The sequence below is a fragment of the Homo sapiens genome, chromosome 7 (genome assembly GCF_000001405.40).
Source record: "Homo sapiens chromosome 7, GRCh38.p14 Primary Assembly".
In the NCBI taxonomy this organism is placed as follows: domain Eukaryota; kingdom Metazoa; phylum Chordata; class Mammalia; order Primates; family Hominidae; genus Homo; species Homo sapiens.
The window spans coordinates 29,692,909-29,720,121 of record NC_000007.14 but is presented as its reverse complement, the minus strand read 5'-3'; the positions used below and the strand labels follow the sequence as shown (position 1 = coordinate 29,720,121).

The following is a 27,213-nucleotide window of genomic DNA, read 5'->3' as shown; positions in this document are numbered from 1 at the left end:
AAAACTATTTTACTTAACCTCTTTCAACATACATTGTAGGTCATAAGCTTTCTGTGCATTGTCAATTTCACAAAGCCTCACAGACTGATTACAATATTTGGGTATTTCTTGATGTTTTACAGACATATATTCAAACCACTGAATATGAGATCTGATCCTCATAAGAATTACAACAATTATACATACCACTTTGATCTTTGACTTAGCTATTTGATCTCCAAGGCTAAAAATAGATACCAACAACCAAATCCAATGCAGAACTTCTATTTTTCTACTGATTATTTACAACCTGCTCTTGGTGAGACAATTATTTTTCCACAGCATCCTCAGAAGGCCAGAAAAAGGAAAATATTTGGCAAGTAAACTCTTAATTCAAATTATTTTATAGGGACAGAAATTATCTTATAACAAGTTTGATGATTATAAGTGGTTTTCATTCAATTATTTTTCCTAATCTACCAGTACTCAAGGATAATTTAGAGTTGCAATTTATTTTTCTAATTTAGAGTAGGCCTGGTGACTAACAGTAATTTAACCAAACCACTATAATTTCAGGTCTTCCTCATAACTGTCACATAAAGGAAGTCACTCAGGACTACCAATGAAGTGTGTTTGTATTTTTTTTTTTTTAAGATTTGTAGGGCAGACATGGTGGTTCACACCTGTAATCCCCGCACTTTGGGAGGCCAAGGCAGGCGGATCACTTGAGGTCAGGAGTTTGAGACCAGGCTGGCCAACATGCTGGAATCCCATCTCTACTAATAATACAAAAATTAGCCAGGCGTGGTGGCACGTGCCTATAATCTCAGCTACTCAGGAAGCTGAGGCATGAGAATTGATTGAACCCAGGAGGTGGAGGTTGCTGTGACCCGAGATTGGCCACTGCACTCCAGCCTGGGTGAGAGAGTGAGACTGTGTTTAAAAAAAAATAATAATTTGTAAAGAGCTGGGGGTCAATGTGAAGTAAGTGTGAAGTAAGGCAAGAAACATAATCATGAACAAACTTAACAGATACATAAATAACTTAGAAGCTCTAAATAAAGTTTATCATAAGACATATATAATAAAGTTAAAAACAATAAAAAGGAAAGGAGAATGGGGAAATGTGTCAGACATACCAGAGAACAGCAGCAACAAATAAACTAATAAACCACCATGCAAAGCTAGCAATAAACGGCAAACGCTTACATTTAGAAATTTTATTTAATATAAACACGTTGTATGTTATATTGCATAGAGATAGCATTTGACCTTTTAGAGAAGTAATACTATAACCCCTTGTCAAAGTACATAATTTCAGCATCAAACAGGGCCCTAATTGGATAGCATTAAATGAGGTAAATTTCAACATTGATTATTGTATGATATACTCATGTAGGCTTATTTCTAAACAGAAAGTGCTAGAAATAAAAAGTAGATTCATGCATTCTTTTCTATTCCCTAAACCAGTTAGTTAAGCAGGGACTTAGGCCTTGAAGAGGGCTACTCTTTAAGACATTAACAAACAGAAATACCACATGAGAGATAAATGCTCTGCATGTATTTCCTAGAAAATGAAAAGATCAAAATTTTTTAACCTTCTCTTTTTATATAACGAGAAAGGCCTTAAAACATCAAATCATACATTGATTTTAGTCCATAGTTATAAATAAATAAAACAATACTGAGATTTTAAGAGCTCTGTATTTTCAAAGCTGAGGACAGCCTCCCATATGTTAACATCTGCAATAAATGGATAATTTATGATGTAAACAACTAATTATTTGTATTTTAACTGAAATATAAACAACTACTTAACAAACTTTTTAAAAGTTAGTTAAAATAAAAAACAAAGTTTTTTTTTTTCCTAAAAGTCCAAGTCAGCCTTCACGAATATTCTTTTTAGTGGGTTGCAATGATCACTGAACTGCAAGACTTTATTATTGACTCTGCCAATAACTCGTCTAGAGACCTTAAAGAAGGCACTTAACCTCTGTGAAATGAGAGAAGAATAGATGGTTTCAAAGTTTTCATTCAGCTACATGTTTATAAGAACTTTTATGTTTTAACTAAAAGTACTTACGTGGTCTGAAACGCCTAAGATTTTAGATGTCAGAAATTTCAAAATGATTGTTCCACACCACCAGGCACTACCTTGAATTAGTTAGAAAATAAAATAGAAGTCCAGTATTTAAAACTACAAATCACCCAGTTAAAGTATTCAATTATATCTATAAATGACATAGAAAAATTTTAATTATGTGAGGTATAAATGGTGAGGTTTTTTAAAAAAGTTCCTTTAGAAAATCTTGTTTAAAAGCAAAGAATTAAAACTGATGACACTGGTATAAAATATATGGCAACACTAGAATTCTACATATCCTAAATCTTTTTTTTTTTTGTCTTAAGGAGTGAAAAGGTTAATAGGCAAGAAAGAAAGAAGGAAGAAGAAAACAGCTCCCCGTACAGAGACAGAGGGAGGGGGGATTTGAACAAAGAGAAAACCCTGTGTGCGTCAGAAAAGTGGCTGCTCATACATATCCTAATCTGAAGGAAGTTTTAAAAGGTTACTTCCTTTTGATTTCTGTTAAGAAAAGGGAGTGTTTATGTGTTTGTTTCCAAATATTATTTCTCAGCTGAAAATCCATTTTTCAAAACACTACCTTAAAAGTTCTTCTACCACTCCTGTGGAAATATAGGCGCCCATCTTCAAGAAATAACAGTTTGAAATGTGAAAATTTAAGGTTTCCTTTAAGAAAGAGGAATATGAACTAGAACTGGCAATGAGGCTTCTGTTTTGTTGTTGTTGTTGTTGTTTATTTTTTGACTAGCCTTGATTAAAAAGGGAACAATTGTGTACTTCTGGTTAGCCTGGGGAAAGTTAAGCAACCTAAATTCAAATCTCTGCATATATCAACCAACAAGTAGAACAATACAATCACATATATGGATAAAAGGTAACAGCACAAACTTCAAATTACCTATGAATCGAAAAGGAAGCAACGAATCTATAGAGTTATACCTCAAGTCCCTGACCTATGCCTTTGCATAGAATGAGGGGAGACCCATAAAAGGATAAAGAAGAAAAGGAAAGACAGGGGTCAAAATTGGAACTAAAATAACCCAAGAAAGAGACAAGTCTATCATATGTGTAAAAAGAGCCCTGGGAGATTGGTAAATGGGAGTACAGAGCAGGGCCTAACAGTGAGTAGAGACAAAAACACTGATGTTAGAAAGGCATCATTTCTGGAAAGAAAGGAGGATAAAAAGGGGAGTGCAAGAAGGAAAAAGTATCCAGCAGGAAAAATGAGAACCCAAACCAAAAGACTATCCATCACTACTGCCATCAAGCACAAAAAAAGAAAAAAGTTATTCATTGAAAAAAAATCACACTATGCTACATTTTCAGAAGAGGTTTGCACTTGGACTAGAAAACACAAAATAATTAATAGATGAAAAAATGCCTATATAAATATCCAAAGCTTCTTTAAGAAGATAACAAACATGAAAGTCAAATATTTCAGCTAATGAAATCCACACCACTGAACGATAAAATCTCACAAAGCAAAAGAAAATTATGCAGAATTAAAAGTTGAATTAAATATCCTCAAACGAGCATTCAGAAATATTAAAAAAGCAATTTAAACAAGAAATTCAAAAACCAAGAACAGAAATGGGGAAAAAATCAGAAAGAAATAAAGAGTTTATTAGACACAGAAAGGGAATGAAAGAAAAGGAGAATATTATCAAAAATAAAAACGAAATCACAAGATGATTAAAAGAAAAGAAATTCAAATAAGTTAATGAAGGAATTGAAGTAAAGGCACTAAAACAATGATGAAGAATGAAAATGTTACCAGAGAAAGAAGTGAGAAGTATCAGAGAAAGTGGTAGAAATGGAAGAAAGGCACATAATTATAACTGGAGTGCCTGAAAAAAAAAAACACCACAGCAATGAATCAAAACTAGTGTTTAAATTATAATCCAAGAAAACTTTCCAGAAATAAAAGAAGACCTGAATAGGGATTTGGAAAGGATCCAGGGGGTACTGGAAAAAAATTAATCTGGTATGGTAAACTAACTCAAGACATCTTTCAGTAGAACTATGAAAAATGAAGAAAAATTTCTCAGAGCCTCCAGGCACAAAAGTCACATAATTTATAAGGGACAGAAGAATTTGGCTAGCATCAGACTTGTTAAAAGAAACATACAAACCAAAGCAGTGGTGTAGACGCATTTTTAAGAAACTTTAAAAAGTGAGAACCAAGGATTTTATATCTAGCCAATCTGTCATTCAAGTATAGATGTTATAAAAAAGGTTTCAAATATGCAATAATTGAGGAAATAATAGTAACCTTCTTAAATACAAAAAGTTTTAAAGAGAATCATATACAGGAACAAAGCAAATATAGTCAAATACACATAAAACTTACAACAAAGGTTTTCACATTATCTCACAAAGCAAAGACAGACTCAACTTATGCTACACAGGGAAGACAAATAAAAACAGATTCAGAAAGGTGAAAAATAGAATGATGGCAGCAAGCATGGCAGGCAAATACCATTTCCATATGGAAACTAAGGAAGACATTTAAAGCAAGCATAAGAAGCAAATTCATGGCCTCAAAAGCTTTATCAATAAAAATGAAAGAGTGAAAATAAATGAATTAAATCCTTGACTTAAAAATCTAAATAAAGAATAACGAAATAAAGTGAAAAAAGTACACAAAGGGAAATACTCATGAGAAGAATAGTCTACTATATTAACCCCTCTGTGTATCTGTTTTGCTGTTTTATATTTCTTCCCTATATTCTAGGATTCTTTCTTTCATTTCCTTTTTGTTTTCAGAAGTTTTTAAATTTTAAGTTCAGGCGTACATGTGCAGGATGTGCATGTTTGTTACATAGGTAAACGTGTGTCATGGTGGTTTCCTGCACCTATCAACCCATTACCTAGGTATTAAGCCCAGCATGCATTAGCTATTTTTCCTGATGCTCTCCCTCCCCACACCCTCCCCTGACAAGCCCCATTGTGTGTTGTTCCCCTCCCTGTGTCCATCTGTTCTCACTGTTCAGCTCCCACTTATAAGTGAGAGCATGTAGTGTTTGGTTTTCTGTTCCTGCATTAGTTTGCTGAGGATAATGGCTTCCAGCTCCATCCATGTCCCTGCCAAGGACATGATCTCATTTCTTTTATGACTGCATAATATTCCATGGTGTATATGTACCACATTTTCTTTATCCAGTCTATCATTCATGGGCATTTGGGTTGATTCCACACTATCAAAAAAGAGCTCATATAGCCAAGACAATCCTGAGCAAAAAGAACAAAGCTGGAGGCCTCAGGCTACCTGACTTCAAACCATATTACAAGGCTACAATAACCAAAACAGCATGCTCCTGGTACAAAAACAGGCACATAGACCAATGGAACAGAATAGAGAATTCAGAAATAAAACCACATATCTACAACCATCTGGTCTTCAACAAACCTGACAAAAGAACTTCAGTTAACCATTCTTTAAGGTTCTCTGCTAGCCACAAACTATCTTAATTTTCCTTGATTGGAGAATGTCTATTTCCCCTTCATTCCTAAAGGAAACATCCACTGGATATGTAATTCATCTTGACAAATGTTCTGCCACAACCTTCTGGCTTCCTTACTTTCACATGAGAAGTCTGCTACAATTTAAGTCAGTTTTGCCCTGTAGGTGATGTGTCATTTCTCCATACCTGCTTTCAAGATTTTTTCTTTTAGTTTTAAAAGTTAACTCATAATGTATCTTGGCATGGATTTCTCTGGGTTTGTCTTACTTGGGAATGGCTCAGGGTCTTCACTCTGCAGGTGTGTCTTTCACCAAATTTAGGATGTTTTTAGCAATTACTTCTTAAAATACTATTCAGCCCCACTCTCTTTTTCCACTCCTTCTGAAATTTTGATGATACAAATATTAGATCTTTTGATACTACACCATAGGTCCCGGAGGCTCTGTCCTTTTTCCTATGATTTTCTCTCAATTTAGATTGGGAAATTTCTATTGTTCTATCTTCAAGAGCACTGACTGCTTCCTCGGTAATATTCACTCCACTACCAAGTCCATTTACTGAATTTTAATTTCAGTTATTGTATTTTTCAGTTCTGTAATCACCAAGTTGTTCTTTAAAAAAAAAAAGACAATTCTTTGGTGACATTTTATAGCCTTTTCATTTGCTTCCAGAGTATTTAAAACTGCTCATTGAAGTGTTTTTATGATGACTGCTTTAAAACCCTTGTCAAATAATCCCCACATCCTATTCATCTCAGTGTTGACATCTGTTGATTGTCTTTTCTCATTCAAGTTGTTATTTTCTCCATTCTTGCTATGATGAGTGGTTTTTCTATTGTGTCCAGTACATTTTTTATATTATGTTAGAGACTGTGGATCCTATTTTAAATTTCTATTTCAGCAGACAGTCACTTTGTTTTTAGGTTTATCATGCAAGTCCTGGCCTACTTCTGTGTGCTATAGTTACAATGACAGTTTAGTTTTCAGAGTCTTTGCAGTGCTAGTGCTATTCTGGTCAGCTTGATTCATCTGGTGCCCTTGTGGTCCATCTCTGCCCCAAATCATGCTGCCGATGCAGGAAGAATGTACTTCCCATGTCCTGTTGCCATGAGGTGGAGGGTGAGAGACACCAGGATTGTGGGGTAGGAGGTCGGCAGAGAGCAGAGGGCTCTTTCCTGGGCTGCCTAGTCCTGGCAGGGCACCTGTTAGATCCCCGCTGCTGCTACCTGCATGGGCAGCCTCCCTGGAGGAAATAGTAGATACCAGACCCACAGCATGGAGAGTATTTCCCCGGACCCTCTTTCTGAGTGTCTTCTGCCACTGGATGGAGTTTCAGGAGATGGCAGCCTGTGGTTTTCTGTGAGTTCTGAGGTACCTAACTAGTCTGCCTTTCTATAGCATTGGGCTGGGATTGGAGCTACAGTTATGAAATCATGATTTCATACACACACACACGTGTGCACATACGTGCAGTGAAAGGGCCTAGAAACAAGGACACACTGGTAGTAATGAGTGCACATACCACTCAGGTCTTGGTTTCCAAATACCATTCTCCTCTAAAAGGAACCAGGGCTCCTTGGAAAAAATGGCTGATTCCAAGGCTAGCACGAGGAAAATCAAGAAAAGCCTGGAGCATTATAAATTTATAAAGACATGTCAAAGAGACATCCAGCTTAGGAACATTCAAAACGGCTAGGCCTGGAACTGATATTTGTGTATAACATATGGTTTTTCTCATATAGATAGACTATTCCAGCATCATTTAGTGAAAAGTGACCTGCAAGACAATCTTGCTGAAATTGCTTTGAATCTGAACATCAGCTGGGGAGAACTGCATTACATGAAACTTCATACACATAAATGTGTTTTATTTTTCTATTTGTCTTAGAATTATTAAAATAAATTTTCATACAAATACTATATGTATTTTGTTAGATTCATTCAGATTCTATGCATTTTTCTTCCTAATACATAAGGCATATTTTTAAAAAATGTTTTCTGTTTGTTGCCAAAGAATAGAAATGCAATTGATTTTTGAATATTAAACTTATATCTAGCCATGGTATTGAATTCTTCTAATTCCTAATAATTTGTCAATTATTTTATTCTTTCTAGGTAAATACTGATACTATAATAAATTTTCCTTCTGTTTCTTTCCTTTTCCTATTATTTACTTTTCTTGAATTACTAGGCTAGTTTGGACTTTAATAAAACGTGAAAAAGCACATTTATCTTTATCTTGATTTTAAACAGAACACTCTAAATACTTTATTATAGGTAAGACTAATGACTGCTGAATAATTTTACAGGGTTGAGAAAACTGTTATTTCTACTGTGTTACATGTTTTCATTACAAATGGGTGTTCAATTTTATCAATTTTATTTTCTGCATCTAATGGGATGATCATAAGATTTTTTCTCTTTTAATCTGTTAGTGTGATAACTTACATTTTTTGATTTTCCAGAAATGTCTTTGGATTCCTAGAATAAGCCAGATGTATCACAAGTGGATTATCTGTATCACATATATGGCTGTTCTTGAGTTACTAATCTTTTATATTTTGTGTGTAAGGAATGTTTTTAATCTAGGTGAAATTTTGAATCTATGCTCACAAGTAAGAATATCCTTTCTCAAACTATCCTTATCTGGCCTTAGTACTGAGCTTTAGATTATCTTGGAGGTTCCATCTCCCTTCTTGTAATGATTCTTATGCCTCATGGCACACACAAAGTTCCCCTTTGTAAATTTCATACGCGCTCAATTCGATAATTATCTTGCCACCAAAAACTGGAGTCTCCCATTAAACAGTGAATTTGCTTCTATTGATGTTAAACTCTAAAATGAATCACTTAGCTCTAAAAATACCTTGTTCAGGTTGTGTGTAATAAATACTTACCTTTGCCAAAGATATACAGAGCTAAAAACAGAAAATAATACCTAGGGGGCTTAAAAAACATGTAAGCTGAACATTTGGTTAAATCTCAACTTTTCTCTCCTTAGATTTTTTGTTTCTTTGATATTCTTGAATTTAAAACTTACTCAATTCATGTTCTTTCCAGTCTACTACTGAAAATATTGTTGAAAATGAAGACAGTAAATTTTCCTTTGAGTGCAGCCTTGGCAGAATTTTTTTGATGTTTATGGACACCTTCTGTTTACTGTCATTTTTCAATAGTTTGCAAATGAAATTCTGAACTTCTTTTGAGTTGAATTATTAAATTGCTCAATTTTTCTGAAGTGAAAGAATTATATATTACAAGTGTAATGTCGACATGTGAATTTCTACAAAGTCTGCATGCCTAAGGACAGGTGGCCTGGGTAAAGAGTCAAATTGGTAGAACCAATAAAGAATAACAAAAAGACAAAAAAAGCATCATGTCATTCATTCAACAACTTAGTGGACATATCTTTCTATATTTTCACCACCTAAAGGATGGGAGAATGCCTCCAACAAGGAGAAAATAGCAACTCCTTCCATTTTGTTCTCTTGTATTGTGGGTAGGAACCTACCTCCTCAACTTGTAACATTTCCAGACTTATCCTCTCAATATATAACATGAAAACATACAGTTCATTTCTTCTGTCACCTAGGGTGGAGTGCAGCGGGGTGATCATGGCTCACTGTAACCTTCCTGGGCTCAAGCGATCCTCCCACCTCAGCCTCCTGAGTAGTTGGGATCACAGGCTCATGCCACCATGCCCAACTAGTTTTTCTATTTTTTGTAGAGACAGGGTTTTGCCATGTTGCCCAGGCTGGTCTCAAACTCCTGGGCTGAAGCCCTCTGTCCATGTTGGCCTCCCAAAGTGCTGTGATTACAGGCGTGAACCACTGTGTGTGGCCCAGGGTTTATTTTTTAATAGAAGTACATCACAGACCAGAGAAAAAGAATATCATCTGTCTCATATTAAGAGAATTTAAGAGTTGCACTACCTGCCTAATAACTTATATTACTAGGAAACCATGGAGGTAATACGGGCCATCCATCTGCATATTTGGGAAGAAGCCAAACAAAGATTAGGTAGTGGCTGAGTTCAAATTAGAAGGGGCTGGGAGACTGCAAGGAAAATGTTAAAAGGACAAAAGTAATAGAGTCTAAAGTTGGAAGCAGAAGGAAAGAGAGATAGACGATGGATAGATGCAGAGGAAAGAAAAGGAGAAAAGTGGAAAGAAACTACAAACCTGAGTTATGTTGAAGGAAAGTTTAACTGAAGCTAAAGAGAGAAACTCAAGACATACAAATTTTAAAAAGCAAGACTGTATGGATATAGCAGAATGAAACATAGAGGAAAAGTGGTCTGAAAGTTAGTTGTGAAATACGTGAGCTAACTTCTTGAAAATGATTTCTAGTCTTTGCTAAGGACTATTTCCTTACATATCTATCTACCTTAGATAGTAGCTATTTTTAAGACAGTAGCTATTTATTAAATATGTCATTAGCATTTTAAAGCATATTAACTGTGTTTAGTTTGTAGAAATAAAAAGTAGAATTTAAATAAACTGCATTAAAAACACTGAATCTTACCCAAAAGTTGAGTTCAGATACTCCCAGTTTTTAAATTTTATTTCCTTTAGAATTATTGCCTAAAATGCACATAAGGGAAAATGAAACAATTCAATTCAATTAACATTTATATTTTATATAAATGGTACATTCCAAAAATTACATAGTCACCCTGTTCCATCTCAGCTATCACCAGCCATTTTCCTCCTTAACTGTTTATTTTTCAAATTCTGGACATGGCAAATTTCCTTGAGGTAAGAGTTAAATGGTTTATGTGTCAAAAAGCTGCCTCTTGAATCAAGTTATTTCCTCACTTAGACAACCTGGCCATTTTCTGCAGGATAATTCCTCTACAAAGGTAAATGGTATGTGAGCAGATGAGAGCATCCATGCAAGTCTGTATGTGAGTTATCCAGCAACATTAGTGAACTAAACTAACATGTAAATCCTTCCTCTCCAAACTGCCAAATAAAATATTTAAACATGTTTAAAAAATGTATACTCATGTGAAAGAGAAGGAACTTCTGATGCTAGAAAAAAGATGAATTTTTAAAAATACAATATTCATTAGCAGAGAGCCACCACCCCTGGCAGTCTTTATAAGTGCCTGTAGAATAAGGTCACAACTATAGGCTTGTATTGTAAAGGGAGGGCAGCAGAAGAGGCCTTGGGTCTATGCAAGGTAAGAAGTTGGAATTGAGACTAATACATAAAGCTAGGGTCCTCAAAAACTATACCTGCAGTGCTATGGACTTGAGTATTTGTGTCCACCTCAAATTCATAGACTGAATCTTTAATCCCCAGTCTGATGGTGTTTGGAGGGTGGGCCTCTGGGAAGTAATTGAGTCATGAGGGTGAAACCCTCATGAATGGGATTAGTGTGTCCATATTACAAGAGACTAGAGAGTTGAGGTCTCTCTCTACCATGTGAGGACACAGTAAAAAGGCTTCTGTCTGCAAACCACAAAAAGGGCTTTCACCAAGAACCAAATCAGCTGGGACCTTGATTTTGAACAGCTCAGCCTCCAGAACTGTGAGAAATAAATTCCTGTTGTTTAAGCCATCCTGTCTGTGGTACTTTTGTTATAACAGCCCAAACTGACTTAAGACACACAGTGACTAAGAATACTTCACCTACCATCTCTACAAGTTGATAGGTTATTTTTTTATTCCCAAGTTTGGGGTGAAAATAGTGCTCACATGAGAAACTGAATTCTTGGACTTGTATATTATTTAGACTTGGATTCGAATTTTGTATCATTTAGTTGGTGTAGAAATTCCCAAAGTGAGCCAGGATTACTAAACTTCCAATAGGAAAATATAAATGTATCAGATTATTCATTGCAACATTGTTTGTAAATGCAAAATTTAGGAAACAACCTAAATGCCCAGATATAGGAGAGTGACTAAATTACAGTAAATCCAAAGCAGAACACTAGGAAACTACCAGAAAGAATGAGGAAAATCTCTACGAACTGATATCCAGAATAGGTTGTTAAATGAAAAAAAAAGTGCAAAAGACTATCTTTAATACAAGAAGAGGAGATTTAAAAAATATACATGTAACAGTTATTAGTACTCAAAAAAGCCCAACTAAATGAGGTCAACCAGAAAACTAGTAAGATTTCTTACCTACAGGGAATAGGCAGTAACAGGGTGAAAAGAAAGGTGGAGAGAATGGGCTGGAAGGAATAGTGGGGAATATTTTCTGAGTATAATTTTATATATATATATATTTCTTGGGAATATTTTCTGAGTATAATTTATATATATATATATATATATATATATATATATATATATATATATATATATATATATATATATATTTCTTCCTCATTGAAACATGGTAATGTTTCACCCAAAGTAACTAAAATCAATCAGAATGAAACTTCAGCTTCTGTCCAAGTTTGTATAACAGAAACCACATTTACTTTCTCACCCTAAAAACCTAAAATACCAAGCCAAATAGATTATAGAGACAGCTATGAAGAATTATATGCCAACAAATTAGATAATTTATAAGAAATAAATTTCTAGAAACGTACAACCAACCAAGAGTAAATTATGAAAACACAAAAAAACTCAACAGACCTATAACTAATAAATCAGTAATAAAAATTTTCTCAACAAAAGAAAACCTCAAACCAGATGGCTTCACTGGAGAATTCTATGAAACATTTAAATAAGAATTCACACCAATCCTTCTCAAGCTCTTCCAAAAAACTGAAGAGAACACTTCTATACACATTTTATGAGGCCAGCATTACTCTGATACCAAATCCAGAAAAAGATACTACAAGAAAACTACAGGCCAGTATCTCTGATGAATATAGCAAAACAAAACAAATATTTCTATTAAAAATGAGCAAAGGACTTGAATAAACATTTCCCCAAAGAATAAATACAAATGTCCAACAGGTATTTAAAATGATGTTCAACATCACTTATCATCAGGGAAATGTAAATCAAAACCACAATGAGATACCACCTCAAACCTGTTAGGATGGCCATTATAAAACAAACCAAACCAAAACTAAACCAGAAGTAACAAGTCTTGGCAAAAATGTAGAAAAATTGGAATGCTTATGTACTGTTGGTGGGAATATAAAATAGTGCAGCCAAAGGGCACACCAGGTAGTCTACACAGAAGAGTTTGTTTCAGAGTGCAGCAATATTAGCCACAAACTAACCACTACTTTAATTCCAGCTAACAGATCTTAAAAGCAAGACCCGAAAAGATCAGCCTATGTTCAAGCAACTTAACTGCATCACAGAAAAAAGCTCAAGAGTATCTATAGGAATAAGAAAATATCCAGCAGCTAAGAAGGTAAAATTCACAAAGCCTGGCATCCAAGTAAACATTGCCAAGCGTGCAAACACTCAAGAAAACACAACCTCTATATGAGGAGAAGAAACAATTAATTGAAACTGACACAGATGACAGAATTAGCAGGGGGAGGCACTGGGGCAGTTACTGTAACTGTATTACACATGGTGAAGAAGTGGTAACAGAGAGAGAACAAGTTAACTAGAGACAAAAAATACTTCAAAGATACAAAATGAACTTTTAGATATGAAAACTACAATGACTTAAATGAGAAATACACTGGATGTGATTAACAACAGGTTAGATACTGCAGAAAAACAACCAGTGAACTCCTGAAGACACAGCAATAGTAACTATCCAAAATTAAATAAAGAACAAAAATAAACATAGGCTCCATGAACCACTGAACATTTTCAAACAGCCCAATATGCATTTAATGAGAGTCCCTAAATGAAAGTGAGGGGGGAGGCAGAAAAAATTTGAAGAAATAATAGCCAAAATTTTTCCAAATTTGATAAAAATTGTAAACCTAAAGATCTAATGATCTAGGATTCATTTCAATGAATCCTAAATACAAGAAACATGAAGAAAGCTATAGTAAGGCACATTATATAAACAAACTGCTCAAAATCAGTGGTAAACAGAAAATCTTATCTCTAGCTGGGAACAGCTAGAGAAGTAACATATTATTTACAGACAAAAGCATAGGGATGTCAACAGATTTCATAAGAAAAAAATGCAAACAAGACAAGTCAAGCAGCATCTTTTAAATTCTTTTTATTTTATTTTATTTTATTATTATTATACTTCAAGTTTTAGGGTAAATGTGCACAATGTGCAGGTTAGTTACATATGTATACATGTGCCATGCTGGTGTGCTGCACCCATTAACTCGTCATGTAGCATTAGGTATATCTCCTAATGCTATCCCTCCCCACTCCCCCCACCCCACAACAGTCCCCAGAGTGTGATGTTCCCCTTCCTGTGTCCATGTGTTCTCATTGTTCAATTCCCACCTATGAGTGAGAACATGTGGTGTTTGGTTTTTTGTCCTTGCAATAGTTTACTGAGAATGATGATTTCCAATTTCATCCATGTCCCTACAAAGGATATGAACTCATCATTTTTTATGGCTGCATAGTATTTCATGGTGTATATGTGCCACATTTTCTTAATCCAGTCTATCATTGTTGGACATTTGGGTTGGTTCCAAGTCTTTGCTATTGTGAATAGTGCCACAATAAACATACGTGTGCATGTGTCTTTATAGCAGCATGATTTATAGTCCTTTGGGTATATACCCAGTAATGGGATGGCTGGGTCAAATGGTATTTCTAGTTCTAGATCCCTGAGGAATCGTCACACTGACTTCTACAATGGTTGAACTAGTTTACAGTCCCACCAACAGTGTAAAAGTGTTCCTATTTCTCCACATCCTCTCCAGCACCTGTTGTTTCCTGACTTTTTAATGATTGCCATTCTAACTGGTGTGAGATGGTATCTCATAAAGAAAATTGCTGTTAACCTGCAATTCTACACCCAGGAAACATACCTTTCAAAAATGAAGGCAAAATAAAGACTTCATGACCAGGTGATTTGCACTAAAAGAAATGTTAAAGGAGGTCTTTCAGACAGCAGGAATACAGTAGGTCAATCTGGCTGTACACAAGTAAAGGGCACTGAGAATTGTAACTATGGGGTAAATATACAACATTTTAAAAGTTTTAATTATTTTTAAAAGGTAATTTACTGTTTAAATAAAAACAAATTTATTGAGATTTCTATTTCATATGTTTAAGTAAAATGTATGACAATAACATGAAATAAATTTAAAAATGCACTTTATCAAAATATGTGGGATGCTGATAAAGCAGTACTTTGAGAAAAGTTTATAGCACTAAACACCTGTGTTTAAAAAAAAAAAAAAGAAACAAGAAAGGTCTCAAGTCAATGACTTTGCTTTATACCTTTTTTAAAAAAAACCTAGAAAAAAAGATCAAAACCCAAAGTAAGCAGAAGAAATGAGGTAATAAAGATCGAGTAGAACTCAATGAAACAGAAAACAAAAACAATAGAGCAAATCAATGAAACCAAAAGTTGGTTCCTTGAGAAAATTAATAAAATTGATATACCTCTAACCAGACTGATCAGAAAAAAAAAATAGAACACAAACATCTAATACCAGGAATGGAAGAGGAACTATCACTACAGATACTATAGATACATAAAGAAAGAAAATATTATGCCTTTGACATCATAAATAAAATTTAAAAATTCCTTGAAAGATACAACCAAAGTTCACTCAAGAGGAAATGGATAACACAAATAGCCTTATATCTTATTAATGAAATAGAACGAAGCTTTACTAACTTTTTATGTTTTTAAGGAAGCTATGTTTGGGACCTAAGCCAAAAACAAAATTGCAAGAATATAAAATTTCAGTTAGAGTGTCATATTCAGGCAAAATGCTAAAAATCTCATGTCTGAGAAAGAAAAGGCAGTTTTAAAAGTAGTAATAAGTAAAACATAAAAACAAAAGTTTTAGACAGTAAAACACATATACAGTCTAGTTGAAAGTATAATCTGTTATAATATGACATGTATAATATACATTTCCAGTTTTCCTTCTATATATCACCAATACCATATGTATTAAATATTACCAAAGAGGAGGTACCCTATAAAACAGAATCGCTTCGATTTTATAAACTCTGAGAACCTATCTTAATATTTGACTTACATAAATTAAAAATGTTACCATGTTCAGATAACTGATCTTCTGAAATTTGCTTGGTTTAATGTATCCCACAACATACATGGGAAATAATGATGCTATCTGAAATAATATAAAAAAGCAAAAGTAAAAAAATATAGAAAACTAACACTTTACTATTCACAGGCAAAATAAATATAAGAGGAGGGCTACAGTTCTAATAATGGTAAGCAAAGGAATTTGAACCAACCTTCCCACTAAGAACTAGAATGGCTAGGAAAAATATAAATATATAAATAAAAATATTTTAAAAATATGTATAAAAGCCACAGATTATTAACAAAACAAATGAGGAATTTAAAAGATAGATGGCAATCTATACCGATGAGCATGACATTTTGGGCCACTTTTCTCCCAGAGGTATCTGCCAATTTCAACAGAGGCAGATACCTGCCAGCTGAGAGGCAGTTGGGAGACCAACAAGCTGAGCAGGCATTTCAGCAGATTCAGCAGTCAGAGTGCACCAAGAAGGGTGCTTTAGTTTGGAGTTTCGAAAGGCCATACTATAATAGTGAACCAGAAATCAAGCAGCCCTGAGAAAGACTGAAACCCATCTGCGGATCATCTCAATCTGATTGCATGAAGGTGGTTCAAGATTTATTAGTGCTTTTTACTCGCCTCTCCAATTTTTCATGTATAATGTCCAGCACCAAATCAAAAATAACCCAGCATAGATGGAGATAAGACACTATCACTAACACAATAGAAATAGATCCACAAAAGATTTAGATCAGTGATTAGCACATTTGTTATATAAAAGGCCAGATAATAAATATGTTATGCTTTGTTGGTCACACACAGTCTCTTGTATATTCTTTTTCTATTTTTGTTCTATAACCCTTTAAATATATAAAAACTATTCTTAGCTTGGAGATCACTCAAACACTTGTCTGGCATAATCAGATATGTCTTTAGTTTTGCTTCCAATGTTCAAGGAAGTAACTGATAGGATTGAAAATTCCAGGAGAGCACAGAAGTCATAAAAAAAAATTGGGCCAGGCATGGTGGCTCACGCCTATAATCCCAGCATTTTGGGAGGCCAAGATAGGAGGACTGCTTGAACCCAGGAGTTCAAGAGCAGCCTGGGCAAGACGGTGATACCTCATCTTTACAAAAAATTAAAAAATTAGCCAGGTGTGGTGGCACAATGAACTAATTTTAACCTTAATCTATGAAAAACACAATTAAGAATAAAATCTTAAAGTACTCCCAGAAAATAACAAATAACATTGAATTATTCCTCTGTAAGCATGAAATGCACACATACAAACAAAACTATATACATTAGTAAAGAAAAATAAAAGCCTAGTATATATGCAGAGAATGGCTAGAAAATCATCACAGCAATATCAAACTTACCCAATAGCTGCTTCTTCTTCTTCTTTTTTTTTTTTTTAACTGAGTCTCGCTCTATCACCTAGGCTGGAGTGCAGTGGTGCGATCTTGGTTTACTGCAACCTCCGCCTCCCCCTCGGTTCAAGCAATTCTCTGCCTCAGCCTCCCGAGTAGCTGAGATTACAGGCACCCGCCACCATGCCCGGCTAATTTTTTTGTATTTTTAGTAAAGACAGGGTTTCACCATCTTGGCCAGGCTGGTCTTGAACTCCTGACCTTGTGATCCACCCGCCTCAGCCTCCCAAAGTGCAAGAATTACAGGCGTGAGCCATCGAGCCTGACCCCAAAGAGCTCCTTAGTTTCATCAGTACCACTGGATTAATAAATTTGCTTGCAATGAAGTGATGCTCGTTAAAAATCTATTCTACTCTGTTGGCATGTGCAAATAATGAAAACCATAGAAAAATGTCCGTGTTATAACCTGAAAGGGGCCAACTATCATGAAGTAAAACAGAGGGAATACTTTAAACATGCAGCACCAATTGAGCTGGGGTTATAATTTCGTTCTTTGTAGGCTACTGGCAGCATGAGACTTCTTGGCAGAATTTCTCACTTCCAATATAGAATATTGTTATTATCATCAGTATTTGTTATGCAGGCAGGAGCTCTGATGGAAAAATCTTAGTATCATGAAATTTCATCAAAATTCTCCATTTACTCTCTGCTTCCCCAATTCAGTTTCTTGGTACTAGTTACATAGTTGCTTTGGAAACAGGATGTAGGCTCAGCTCACTTAAGGAATGATGAGCTTTATGATTAAAGCTCACAGAAATGGTGCCAGGAAAAATTCTGCTCCACAGACAAAACAGCCAACATTTAGCTGGATTAGCAGCAGAACTTCCTGCTGTGAAGAGTAGGATTGGCCCTTAGCATGCTGTGTAGCTTGGCACCCAGAATGATTCCCAGGACAAAAGGAAAATCTATAGGTAGATATATACAGATATTATCTCAAACACCAAAAATAACATTTGTGAATAAAAATAATAGAAAAACTCTTTCACATGTTGAGCCTTAAAATCTGTCAACTAATCAATACAGTAAAAGAATGTGGAATTACATTATTTCATAAAAATCATACCTTTAAGTAAACTTTATTCCCTATTTTGAAAATCTTTTAGGGCATAAATGTAACCATATTTAAAAATTTCTATGGAAACAACCAAGTACATCTTGCATTCAATTTAATTAATACATGCAAAGGAATATAAATCATTCTATTACAAAGATACATGCACCCATGTGTTCACTGCAGCACTATTCATAATAGCAAAGACATGGAATTAACCCAAATGCCTATCAGTGATAGACTGGATAAAGAAAATGTGGTACATATACACCATGGAATATTACACAGCCATAAAAAGGAATGAGATCAGGTCCTTTGCAGGGACATGGATGGAGCTGGAGGCCATTATCCTCAGCAACAGGAACAGAAAACCAAACACCACATGTTCTCACTTATAAGTGGTTGCTGAACAATGAGAATACATGGACACAGGGAGGGGAACAACACACACTGGGGCCTGTCGGGGGATGGGGTGGGGAGAACATTAGGAAAAATAGCTAATGCATGCTGGGCTTAATACCTAAGTGATGGGTTGATAGATGCAAAAACCACCATGGCATACATTTACCTACATAACAAAGCTGTACATCCTGCACATGTACCCCATAACTTAAAATAAAAATAAAAATTAATTTAAAAAATCATCTTACCTGTGTAAAAAGTATAAACTGAGCAAATTGCCAGGGAAGCATAAAAGCAACATTGGAAAGACAGAGTGCAATGAAGGGCCTTCTATCATTGCTCGAGGTCCTTAATAGAGAGAAGTGATACCAATAAGTTTCACCCTAAAAGTAGTCTGTCACTGAAAAGAAAGACTACTTGCAAAATGATAAAATCTAAATTATTCCATTACCTTTACTATAATACAACAAAATATAGTTAACTTTTTAAAGTATACTAAAAAGAAATTGCAATATTTCATGGCTTGCATGAAGCAATCAAAATTAGAGTTTTAAAAATAACATTGTACCAAAAAAGAGCCCCCATTGCTAAGTCAATCCTAAGCCAAAAGAACAAAGCTGGAGGCATCACGCTACCTGACTTCAAACTATACTACAAGGCTACAGTAACCAAAACAGCATGGTACTGGTACCAAAACAGAGATATAGATCAATGGAACAGAACAGAGCCCTCAGAAATAACGCCTCATATCTACAACTATCTGATCTTTGACAAACCTGAGAAAAATAAGCAATGGGGAAAGGATTCCCTATTTAATAAATGGTGCTGGGAAAACTGGCTAGCCATATGTAGAAAGCTGAAACTGGATCCCTTCCTTACACCTTATACAAAAATTAATTCAAGATGGATTAAAGACTTAAACATTAGACCCAAAACCATAAAAACCCTAGAAGAAAACCTAGGCATTACCATTCAGGACATAGGCATGGGCAAGGACTTCATGTCTAAAACACCAAAAGCAATGGCAACAAAAGCCAAAATTGACAAATGGGATCTAATTAAACTAAAGAGCTTCTGCACAAGCAAAAGAAACTACCATCAGAGTGAACAGGCAACCTACAAAATGGGAGAAAATTTTCCCAACCTACTCATCTGACAAAGGGCTAATATCCAGAATCTACAATGAACTCAAACAAATTTACAAGAAAAAAACAAACAACCCCATCAAAAAGTGGGCAAAGGATATTAACAGACACTTCTCAAAAGAAGACATTTATGCAGCCAAAAGACACATGAAAAAATGCTCATCATCACTGGCCATCAGAGAAATGCAAATCAAAACCACAATGAGATACCATCTCACACCAGGTAGAATGGCAATCATTAAAAAGTCAGGAAACAACAGGTGCTGGAGAGGATGTGGAGAAATAGGAACACTTTTACACTGTTGGTGGGACCATAAACTAGTTCAACCATTGTGGAAGTCAGTGTGGCGATTCCTCAGGGATCTAGAACTAGAAATACCATTTGACCCAGCTATCCCATTACTGGGTATATAACCAAAGGACTATAAATCATGCTGCTATAAAGTTTATTGCGGCACTATTCACAATAGCAAAGACTTGGAACCAACCCAAATGTCCAACAATGATAGACTGGATTAAGAAAATGTGGCACATATACACCATGGAATACTATGCAGCCATAAAAAATGATGAGTTCATGTCCTTTGTAGGGACATGGATGAAAATGGAAATAATCATCCTCAGTAAACTATCGAAAGGACAAAAAACCAAACACCACATGTTCTCACTCATAGATAGGAATTGAACAATGAGAACACATGGACACAGGAAGGGGAACATCACACTCTGGGGACTGTTGTGGGGTGGGGGGAGTGGGGAGGGATAGCATTAGGAGATATACCTAATGCTACATGACGAGTTAATGGGTGCAGCATACCAGCATGGCACATGTATACATATGTAACTAACCTGCACATTGTGCACATGTACCCTAAAACTTAAAAGTATAATAATAATAAAAAAATAAAATAAAAATGTTACTGTTACATGAAAAAAAAAATAACATTGTAATTTACCATTAAATATTCTAAATACAAAAGCTCGTTTTCCTCTACATCTGCATGACATTAGAAATTTAATACTCCAGCAAGGAGGTCAGAAAATAGGACACGGCGCTGCCCCTGCACACCTCAACATGCTTCTCGTGTATGTGTAGCAACAACTTTTATATACCACCACTTTTCTGTTTCAAAAAACATTGAAGAGAAATGTAAGTGCTGACAAAGTAATAAGTTAACAACTATGGGAAAAATTTAAGGAAAAAGAATCTTAAAAAATTAAAAAATCATTCTAGAATTCAGCTGAAGCATGTGGAAGTTTAAATTGTCCATTCTGCATTACTGAGATGTATTGGGAACGAATACCTTTTACCACAGAGAATTATAGTAACTTTTAGATAAGAAAGAAGAAACACAAACATATTACCTAAATAATAAAACTGTAACTGCTCCTTTTATAAATGCTGTATTGGATTTTGATGAATCTTTGTACAATCGTATATAAATTTTCAAAAACAAAATTCTAAATGTTCATATTGTTTATTAATGTTATCATAAAATACTCATTATGTACTTTGTAATCTTATATTTTTCAAACAAAAATTAGTTCTGACTAAGATACAGAGTATAGCACATGCACTCAATGATACAACCCTAAATGTTCTCATTAAGACATTTTATTCCATGAAAGCCCTGACTGACCAGACTGATACCACCTCAAAAAAATAAAAATAACCCACCTTCCTAGGAATTAAACTGGGAATGAATAGCAAGGGGTGATGAAGAATGGTCAGCTTCCATCACCTAATCTTTGAGAGAAGGCAAAGTGTAGAGCAAAGATATAGAAATCTGAATGAGGAGGAGGTTCCTAAATCCAAATTCAACCCCAGAATATACTTGTCAGGTTGGTAAGAAATCAGAAGTTAGCCTGCTCCATCCTCAAGGTTTGTGCCACTCCAGTACACTACTATTTACCACTCTTCAATTAGCTTTATCTGAGTGCCACAAATATTTGCATGGACGTGTGCAGTATTCTGTGGTTAAAGAGATAAATATGGCATGGTCCCTGTTTCCAGTGGTATTTTTAAATACATATAATTGGCTGGGCACAGTGGCTCACGCCTGTAATCCCAGCACTTTGGGAGGCCGAAGCGGGCGGATCACTTGAGGTCAGGAGTTCAAGACCAGCCTGGACAACATGGCAAAACCCTGTCTCTACCAAAAATACAAAAACTAGCTGGGGGTGGTGGTGTGCACCTGTAATCCCAGCTACTTGGGAGGCTGAGGCAGGAGAATCGCTTGAACCCGGGAAGCAGAGGTTGCAGTGAGCCGATCATGTCACTGCACTCCATCCTGGGTGACAGAGCAAGACTTCATCTCTAAAGAAATAAATAAATAAAAATTTGTGTATGTGTGGATGATTCATAAATTTACGGTTTTAAAAAACAAGGAAGAAAAACAAATGATTTTTATATAAGGCAGAATCTGCCAGGGACTAGTAGGTGAAGAATGGGGTCCTCTGGGAGTTTGGAGGAGATAGTGATCATTATTTCATTCAGTGAGAGTTCTCATTAGTATTCTATCAAATCTATTTCTCTGATAAGGCTATTTATACTATTCTACCACATATAGTTTTTTTTGTTCATTTCTCAGACCTCTTATATATCTAAAATGCTTATAAATGTAATCCCTACAAAAAAAGTGTATCCAAAAAAAAAGTTTGAAATGAAACTGGTTGTCCTGTTAGAAACATTGGTTGTTCAGAAATGCTTCATAAATATGTGAATATATGTACTCTTTATCCATCTAACTCCGCATTTCCCAAATTCGTTTGCACACAGAACACTTTTTTCATGGCACATTCATCAAAACCACAGGTTAGAAAACAACGTCAGGGTACCTAAACTTTGAAGAGAAAATGTAATTGTTTCTCAAAAACTTCTGAATCTTGGCAAACTATATACAAACACATAACTTTTGGTTTATTAAAATATAATGTAGTTATCTAAAACCTGTAGCCTACACTCTGAAATGGAGAGCAATTTTTACGTAGCAATTTTGAATTATTTTCTTAACTCTATACTCAATTTACTTTTAAAATAACTAAAAAATGGTCAATTTGGTAATTACAACTTCATAGGTTGAAGTATATATATATAATATATATATTTACATATTTTTTTTAGAGGGAGTCTCGCTCTGTTGCCCACGCTGGAGTGTAGTGGCACAATCTTGGCTCACTGCAACCTCTGCCTCCCGGGTTCAAGCAATTCTCCTGCCTCAGCCTCCCAAGTAGCTGGGATTACAGATGCACACCACCATGCCTGGCTAACTTTTGTATTTTAGTAGAGACAAGGTTTCACCATGTTGGCCAGGCTGGTCTCAAACTCCTGACCTCAAGTGATCTGCCCACCTCAGCCTCCCAAAGTGCTGAACTGAAGCATATTTTAAGACACTAAAATTATAATTTATTTGCCTTTGTTTTATAAATCGAAGTTACCTGAGAATCAAAGTTAAAATATACATCTGAAGTACAAGAAATGGATAGGAAAAACTTTCACGGAGAGGTGGTGTCCACATCACACGAGTGACCTGAAATCAACAAAATGCCCACTTTACATCATGTTTACTACAACAAACATATTTAAAAACCAGGGGTGAGTTTTTTTTCGTAATTTCAATACTAGGCTCACTAGATCCCATTTCTGAGTGTCTGGCATAGCTTCTCAGTTTTTGAAGCTCTCTTAACGCATGAGGCCATTAAGTAGAGAGCAATTAACTACCATGTCCAGAAACCAGCAACAGATATATCAGACCGAGCAAAATGAAACCCAAGGGACAAACAAGATTGTACGTATAAGAGTTGTGAGAATTCTGAGACTGACCAACTAGATACATAGTCCAGCCCTGCAGTATGATCCTGGCACATGATCCTGGCATCCCAGGCTTTGGGATATATGCATGCCAAGACAAACACCTAAACAAATGTCACCTAGGTCATTCGCAAGCACCATGAGAGTTTCTATGTAACAAGTATGAACGAATATAAATACACACTTTAAATAGCTAAGATTGCCTCAGATTTTGTAAAATGTACCTTAAAAAAGGTTAAGTATATATTTTAAAAACAACTAGAAGTATTTGGGAACTACAAATGTGATGCATGTAACAAAAGTATTAAATTTTCACACAAACTTTAAAATTACTTCTAAGACATATGGGTCAGAGTATTAGAAAAATTTTCCATCAAAAATTCTGAAATTCTAGAAAGAATGTGAATTCTTATTACTTTGCAAGAGTCTTAAAAGTTATTGCTCCTCTTCCAAGATACCAAAATTGTAAATGTTAGAAGAGGAATTGTGATACATAAAAGAAAGTCAACTTATACCAACAGTTGTCTGGCACACTCAGAGAAAAAGCTTTGTCTTTAAATCAGCACATTGCTGAATGTCAATGCATTTGTTTGCTTTAAAATAATATATATGGCTTTTATGTATAATTTTTATGATTCCTTTATCTAACTGATTTTTAAAAATTAACCCAACAGCAATGGATAAAAGTACTTCTACCCCGGCCGGGCATGGTGGCTCACGCCTGTAATACCCAGTACTTTGGGAGGCCAAGGCGGGTGGATCACGAGGTCAGGAGTTCGAGACCAGCCTGGCCAACATGGTGAAACCCCATCTCTACTAAAAACACAAAAATTTAGCTGAGCATGGTGGCACATGCCTGTAATCCCAGCTACTCAGGAGGCTGAGGCAGGAGAACTGCTTGAACCCGGGAGGCAGAGGTTGCAGTGAGCCAAGATCATGCCACGGCACTCCAGCCTGGGTGGCAGAGCAAGACTCCATCTTGAAAAAAAAAAATACTTCTACCCTATGAAACCTGTGTCATAACATATTAAATATTTTGCTCCCAAGAGCTAGGAGTCAGAATCTCTCTCTTTTTCATTGCCATATCCTCAGCATCTAACAGAGTATGGACATGGTATATACCAATATTTTGTTGAATGTATCCATCATATTTGAAATAAGCTTCTATGGGCTCTTTTTTAGGTGGACTATGTTTCACTGGGCTGAATTAGTAAGTTAATGTCTATTTTGAATTCAGCATTTTGCATTACTGAACAGACAGCATGATGTAACACAAAGAAGTGAGGGAGCAGGTGGCAGTGTCTTAACCGTGTCCCTGCTGTCAGGCCTGAGGCCTCTTTCATTATTGTTAAGGGGAGTGCAATGCATACAAAGTTTCAGTTAGTCAAGATAAATAAGTTCTAGAGATCTGCTATACAACATTGTGTTAACACTGTATTGTACACTTACAAATCTGTTAAGAGGGCAGATCTCATGTTACTTATTCTTACCACAATAAAAAAGCTGAATATATATGTTATACATATAAAATATATAAAAGTTTTTATAAAATATAACTATAATTTTATAATTAATAAAATATAAATTAATATATATGTGAGGTTTTAGAGGCAGACATAGAATGGGAAATCCAGCTTCATCATGTAGTAAATGTAGAATGTGGATAAGTAACTTAATTTTCTCTAAATTTAAATTTCATAACTTGTATGGTGAGGCTACCACCACCCACAAAAAAAGTTTAGTGGGAATAAATCAGATAATGTGCATGACATGATTCAACTCAACAAGTACAGTATTTCCTTTTCTCTACAGAATATATGTATATGTATATATTTACTAAAAATAAGGCAAGAGATTTCATGTTTGAAATTCTAGCTATTTAAACATTTCAATCAGCATGATTAAAATATCAACTTATAACACGAGGGTCTCTGAAATACTGTGAAGTCATAAGTAGTATACAATTATATATTGTTTCAATGAGTATATTTCTTTGTTCCTCTAAACCCCTTCTATTTCTTAAAAATTGCTTTCTAGAAAACAAACCTCTCCATGGTTGAAAAAGCAGCACAGTACTGTAATAAGACCTCCTAGTTGAGTCCCACTGTAAAAAATAATAATAATAAGAGTATACAATCAAAATTCATGTAAAATATAGTGAGTTTTTCACAAAATTACCTCAGAATTTTAAACCATAGTTTAAATCATATTTAAAACATAATAGTACTAAACCATACCCATGTGGTTGATGTTTAAATCCTGAATGTACAATCCTAAAAGGTGTACATATAAAGTAATCTCAATTTTATAATTTATCATAGCTAAAATACTTTCTAAATGAAATACATAAGGTGTGAACATAAATTTTTTTTGAGATGGGGTCTTGCTCTGTCGCCCAGGCTGGAGTGCAGTGGCGAAATCTCAACTCACTGCAACCTCCGCCTCCTGGGTTCCAAAGATTCTCCTGCCTCAGGTTCCCAAGGATCTGGGATTACAGGCGTGTGCCACTATGCCCGGCTAATTTTTTTACTTTTAGTAGAGATGGGGATTCACCATGTTGGCCAAGCTGGTCTCAAACTCCTGGCCTCGTGATCCACTCGCCTCGGCCTCCCAAAGTTCTGGGATTACAGGCGTGAGCCACCGCGCCCCACTGCATAAAGTAATTTTTAAGAAACAGGCTAGCACTTTAGAGTCTAGATCACATCCTTTGAATAACCTGAATAAAGGCAACTTTTTATTTTTGAAATTGGATTTAAGGGATTGAGAGATAAAGACAAGATTCAAACAGTTTCATGTAGCATTAACTTAGAACTGTCTAAACTACTGCAAATATTCTTTACTTGAGTCCCAGAGAAGCAATAATGCAGAATACAAAAATCAGATGAAAGATAAAAACCATTTCTTTTGTTGTTGTCTTTTTGTTTTTTTGTTTGTTTGAGAAGGAGTCTCGCTCTGTCACGCAGGCTGGAGTTCAGTGGCGCGATCTCGGCTCACTGCAACCTCTGCCTCTCCAGTTGAAGCCGATTCTTCTGCCTCAGCCTCCCGAGTAGCTGGGATTACAGGCGCCTGCCACCATGCCCGGCTAATTTTTTTTTTTGTTTTTTTGGTAGAGACGGGGTTTCACCATGTTAGCCAGGATGGTCTCGATCTCCTGACCTCATGATCCGCCCGCCTCGGCCTCCCAAAGTGCTTGGATTACAGGCATGAGCCACTGCGCCTTGCCCAAAAACAGAACTTTTTTAAAAAAAATAGAACATTTTTAAACCTGCCCAAACAATCTCAAAGCAATCCTTTTCCCTCAAAGTACTTTAATGAGCTTATATTTTTCTACACGGCATATAGAAAAGTGCATAAAATTTCTAGATTATAGAACTACTGTAAAGGGAACGTCCATGTAGTCACCATATAATTAATTGAAATAGAGAAATGATTATACTCAGTCTTCACTTGCAAGCCTCCAAGATAAGAATCAGCTACTGACCTGATTTTTGAGATTATCAACATAACTCTTTCTATACACATATCAAACTATGATTTACTTTAATCTGTTTTTAAACAACATACAAATGGAAGAATGCAGTATTTTTTTTAATTTTGTACCTGGATTCACTCATTCAAAATTATATTTGTAAGATTCAACCATGTTGTGTGTAGCTGCATAGTTCATTCATTCTCATTATTGTATACTGTTCCACCATGTTAATAAACCAAAATGTATTCATTTCTCTGTTAATGGATATTTGGGTTCTTTCCAGTTTGAAGC

At 35.3% G+C, this 27,213-nt stretch overlaps 1 pseudogene across 1 annotated transcript in view; it reads right to left on the bottom strand.

The window, feature by feature from the left end:
- Window positions 1–27,213, bottom strand: part of DPY19L2P3 (DPY19L2 pseudogene 3) — a 57,468-nt pseudogene that overhangs the window by 22,500 nt on the left and 7,755 nt on the right. Inside the window, exons 4-5 of the transcript NR_158194.1 lie at window positions 25,497–25,554; window positions 23,078–23,169 (exon numbers count right to left, since the gene is read on the bottom strand). The product of NR_158194.1 is annotated as a DPY19L2 pseudogene 3, transcript variant 3 (transcript). The remainder of the gene's footprint in view (window positions 1–23,077; window positions 23,170–25,496; window positions 25,555–27,213) is intronic.